This window comes from Homo sapiens, chromosome 18 (genome assembly GCF_000001405.40).
Source record: "Homo sapiens chromosome 18, GRCh38.p14 Primary Assembly".
NCBI lineage: Eukaryota > Metazoa > Chordata > Mammalia > Primates > Hominidae > Homo > Homo sapiens.
In genome coordinates, this window is record NC_000018.10 from 31,758,361 (window position 1) to 31,763,498 (window position 5,138).

At 41.1% G+C, this 5,138-nt stretch overlaps 1 protein-coding gene across 1 annotated transcript; it reads right to left on the minus strand.

Moving 5' to 3' along the window:
• Positions 1 to 1,223: 1,223 nt before the first annotated feature.
• SLC25A52 (solute carrier family 25 member 52) lies at positions 1,224 to 2,520 on the minus strand. The gene has a single exon (NM_001034172.4). The coding sequence runs from the start codon at positions 2,299 to 2,301 to the stop codon at positions 1,408 to 1,410; it is 894 nt and encodes a 297-aa protein (NP_001029344.4). The 5' UTR covers positions 2,302 to 2,520; the 3' UTR covers positions 1,224 to 1,407.
• Between the last annotated feature and the right edge of the window lie 2,618 nt (positions 2,521 to 5,138).

Here is a 5,138-nt window from a genome sequence, read left to right on the forward strand (position 1 = left end):
CACAATCCACTTTTTCAGTCTGTCTCTTATATTTCATTAGTCAATTGGAAGTGGCATGAGTTTCATCTGGAAAAAATATTTTCACATTTTCTAATACCTTTGACAAAGAAGTTTTCGTCTGTTAAGGGATGAGAATGCTATTTGGCTATTACCTACTTTTAGAGTTCAAACTAACCCTTCAAATGCCTTTATTTAGATCATACGCTCTCAAACTATCTTATTGTTTTACTGACACAATGGTAAAACTGGGTTCCCAAAATGTCAAAACCCTAATGGAGTCTCTATTTCCAAGAGTAAAATAAAAGACAGCGAATACTATGGGGTGAAAACTATCCTGAGCCTTTCCCGCCCCCCGCCCCACTCTGTAATATTTAGAAACTAGGGGGAAAAAAGTGGGATTGCATTAATAGACTTACAAAACAAAATGTTATGGAAGTGTTTATTTTTTAAAAGGAGAGTTTTAAGAGAACAGGATGCTTGAATATGACCAACTCCTACTCCACGGGAAAAATAACCACAGACCTTTGCTGAGATGGCATCAATAAGTCAAAGAAACCAAGCTAAACAGAATTTGATCTATACACAATATGAAAACTTCTTAACAGGATGGAACACCTATAACAAAATTTAAGTCCCTTCATCTTTCAGCAATGAAATAAGTGAAATTAACATAAGAATATTTTGGAAGGGTTGAGGGTCACAGTCAGAATCAAACAGAAAACTTTCAAACCTAGAAAGCAAAACGGGAACTTTCATAGCTCCTTGATCTACCATATCTAAATAGAAATAGTATAATGACTATCCAATAGGTGATTAGTTTCAAAACTAATACAAGCAATGTATCATGAAAAGCCTCTACATAACAAGCTGTTTTTCTTCTCTGTTCTGCCCCTTTGTCATATGCTTGAGCTTAATGAAGACTATCCTCTGCAGCTGCTCCTGAGGGCACAGAAGAAAGCAATGGAGTAACAAAGGAAGCCTGAGGAGCCCCTGGCCCCTGAGGACCTTCTCTCTGGCCGGTCATAGCAACTTATGTTTTAATGCAGGAGATTTCAAGACTGGTTTGAGAAAAAGAATCTTATCTTGGGGATTAGGTTCCCTGTCAAAGGCCATCAGATGGACAGCTATTTACCAGGCAATTAGCCTAAAGCTCTTAGGTAATGATAAAAAAAAAAAAAAAAGAAAGAAAGAAAAAGAAAACAAAACAAAAAAAAACCCTTACATTTTCCTATTGGAACCTTTTATTCTGTTTTGTTGATGCTTAAGGAAAACAGCTTTGCCCGTAACTCACTGTGGCCTGGAGTTATGACACGAACTTGTATTTGGCCAATTAAGAAAGAGGCCAAACTGCATTCTTCTTAGAAGGTCTATTCAGTTGATAAATGGCACTTAACTGATGGTTTTTTTTCATATAAATTTTAACAAGAACTCATAAGTTGCATTGATTATGCCCCAAGAGATGAGGGACCGATGGTAATTCAGATGGGCACCTCTGAAAAGATTTATCAGTTTTCTGTCCCGTTCCAGCCAGATTTTTTGGAAAACCTTGGGGAAAGACTGAAATTCCCCACCAATCTGAGACTGTAGGCGAGTTTTTACAACATTAATTGGAAAACACAAGAATCCCAACATGGCACCCAATAGACCTCCACCGATAAAATCATTGACCAAATGAGCACTGTGAGTCGTTGCGGTAGGCAGATGCTCCTTAATGGGACCTCGAAGGCCGAAAAACAAGACATTGCTGAGTCCATTCCGGAAAAGAATGGGCACCAAGCCTCGATAATACTCTCCAATTCCATGACATTTCAGTGCCTTGAAAGCCTGATAAGTGTTGGTAAATTTGTCATGATGCTTGTGGTTTTGAAGCAATGTCTGAACTCTTTCCAGTGGAGTGAAAATTGCTTCTGCTGTCCCTGCAAGCACTGCCGCCACGCCATGGGTTGCAAACTCTGGAGCACGGACATGCTTCCGGAGAAGGCAGGATAAATCCTCATACAGACCAAACATAAGTGCAAGCGTAGTTGTCTTCTGCATCAATGGGGGAAGGATTCCACGATACAAATTTCGAAATCCATCCCTTCTCAACTGAAGTACTGCATCCCGGGTTTTGATGCCATACAGCTGTTGCCGAAAGAGGACCTTCTGAATGGGATATGTGATTGCGACGTTGTTGAAGGCTGCACAGCAGCCACACAAGTAATGCTTCATTTCACCAACATTTGTAATATGAGGTGATATATCTTGTTTTGAAGATGTAAGTATTGGTGGCCTCTTTTCATGAGCTTCTGAATCTATCATGTTGCTTAAGATCTTTCTCATGAAGGGCATTTTTTAACCTGTGACATCATCTGAGCCTGGAGTTTGGCAGGATGATAGCTTTGTGATAATGTTCCCAATTTCTTCCATTGTTATTGTTCTGTTAGGTTCTCTCTTCCCGAGTCCATTTTGATAACTGGATTTCCGTTCTCCAGGCGTCCATTTCCCCAACCCATCGCCGCCGGCGCCCCGCAGGACTGCGAGCAAGCCGGGACCTGCGCAGGCGCAGACCATGACCGACCCCGGGGCGGGGGCGCAGCGTGACGCTCTGGGCGCCGCTGGGATCCGAGAAGAAACCCTTTTAAAGCAAGCATGGCAATTTCTTCTAAATAAGCTGGATAAAATTAAAAACTCATTCATCCAAAGATCCTAAAAAATCAACAAATTCCTAAATATTAAATGGTATAGACACAAGTGTTTCTTAAATCACATAACCTTCTCCACGGACACTGTGAAGATGTGTTGCCAGTGGCTTCCCTAAGAGACTGTGAAACTTTTTAAATAGTGTATACATACAAGAAAAGTGGATTTTAGTGTAATCTTGCAGAAGAACAAAACAAACATGGTATCTAAGAGTACAAAGGCACAAAAGTTGAAATTTCATAGTCACTCAGGCCTTGGAGTACTGTATTTTCTTGAAAGGGAAAAAAGTAGGCCAGGTGCAGTGGTTCACACCTGTAATCCCAGCACCTTGGGAGGCCAAAACGGGAGGATCGCTTGAGGCTAGGAATTTGAGACCAGCCTGGGCAACATAGCAAGACCCCTGTCTCTACCCAAAAAAAGAAAAAAGAAAAGAAAGAAAAAAGTAGGTGGTAAGGAGAAGTAAGGAGAAGATGAATTTTTTTTTTAAAAAAAGTTCTGTATACCACATGAAATTTTACTGGGAGGAAAGTGTCTGAGGTTTTAAGAGGCATAAATTAAATAACCTTGAAACCCATTTTGCTCTAGGACTACCCATGTGTTTTCTAGAGTAACCAATGTGTATATTCCATGTATGTGAATGAGAGATGAAAGGAAACAAAAATAACTTCCCTTCCAGGAACAGTGGAAGGCTTCAGCCAACAAAGTAGGTCACAGCATCAGACTACATTGCCTGCTGATGTGTACTGCCTAGTTTTTGAATAGAATCAAATGACAGCTTCCTTGAGATTAAATGACAGTTTCCCTGACCATCATCTTAAAGCACGCCTATGGTGGATCGCTCTAGAATGAACCATAAACCCGAAGTTCTCTTTAAGCTTTAGTGAAACGAAATAGTAAAAGCTTTTCACGGAAAGAGAAGGGAGTCTCCAACATTTATACTGATTGATTTTGGCAGCAATGACTTTCATTAGAAATGTAATTGCTGGGTATGCAAAAATTAGCACTGTTGGGGCTAGAGAGATCTTTGTTTTCCTTTCTTTTGTTTTGTTTTGCTTTTTTGCCTAATATTGATAGTGTTTTCTCGGTTTTGCCATAGCCCTTCTGTCAAGATGCTGGCAATCAGTATATCATGAAAAACAGACTGCCCTTTCTCGCATTTATTGAAGAGAGATTCTCATGATCCTATGGTAAGATAACAATTGCTTTTTTTCAATCCATCCTCCACACTGCAGCCAAAGCAGTCATCTTAGTAACAAACGTGAGCACGTTTTCCCTCACTTAAATCTTTAAATGATTTTACACCTGAAGGACAAAGGTCCCCCATGGTCTGACGTTTTCCTACCCTTGGCGCCATCTGCCTTCACATTTCTAAAGGCACCTTCCGTCCCCGCCATATCAAACTACTCGGGGTCTCCAGAATGAAGAATAATGTGCCATCTGACACTCCTTTGTCTTTATTCGGTTATTGCCTCTGCCTGAAATGTCCTTACTTCTAGTTCCTACTCAGCTTCTGGAAGCCTTCGCTAACTCCTTAGTCCAAATGAGGACCCCTTCTCCACAACACACCCTATACACACTGTGAGTGTGGCACGTGTCACACTGTACAATGTCCACGATTCACAATGCTGAGGGCTTCTTGAAGACACAGTCCACTTCTCATTGAACTTTATTCCAGTTTGTGTCCCCAGTGTCCAGGCATCTGGTTAGGTCTCCAACTGCTTAAGAGTGTAAAGAGTGTTGATGAGTTCTGTATTACTCATGGGTCTTGGTTATAAGAGCCAAAAATACCATTCCAACTGAAGCAAGCAAATCTAGGGGGTAAGGAAAGGAGAAGGAAGAAGGAAGATGAGAAGGAGGTAAGAAATCAGGAAAGGATTTAAAAAGGTGGCATCTGGGCAACATTTAAGGCAATTTTCCAGCTTCTCTCATTTGCACCAGTAGGAGTGGGCCATGTGGCCACAGAGGAGAACATTTCCGAATACCCTTCTGGATCCTGCTGATTTTGGGGGGTACTTACCTCCTTCTGTCCTCAGCACCCAAGTGCCAGATGAGGCAAGTGAATTCCTTTGCAAGAGAGGAAAGAAAGGCAGTTTCAGTGAGAAAATAACAATAAAAAGTGAAGTGGGGGGAGAAATGTATTAGTTCGTGTAATGAAAAAGTTGAGAAATCCAGAAGTAGCAATCACTTTAGGCATTGCTGGATCCTAGAGGTTCAACCACCATCACAAGTACTTAACATCCCTCTCCACGTATATATTGCCCAGCTATACATTCCTCAGTTTTAACTTCATTTTCAGTCAGCTCTTTCTACAGAGTAACATCCTACCTGAAGCTTATTCTGCTAATTTAGCAACTGAAGGATGAAGTGCTTCACTTTCCCAACAGTTCCTGCAAAACAACCCTAGGATTGAGTCTCATTGCAGTTAGTTGGTCTGAACCAATCACTGGGATCAGGGG

Coding starts and splice junctions, on each gene's coding strand:
- SLC25A52 (NM_001034172.4), bottom strand. CDS start 2,301: ATGATAGATTCAGAAGCTCATGAAAAGAGGCCACCAATACTTACATCT.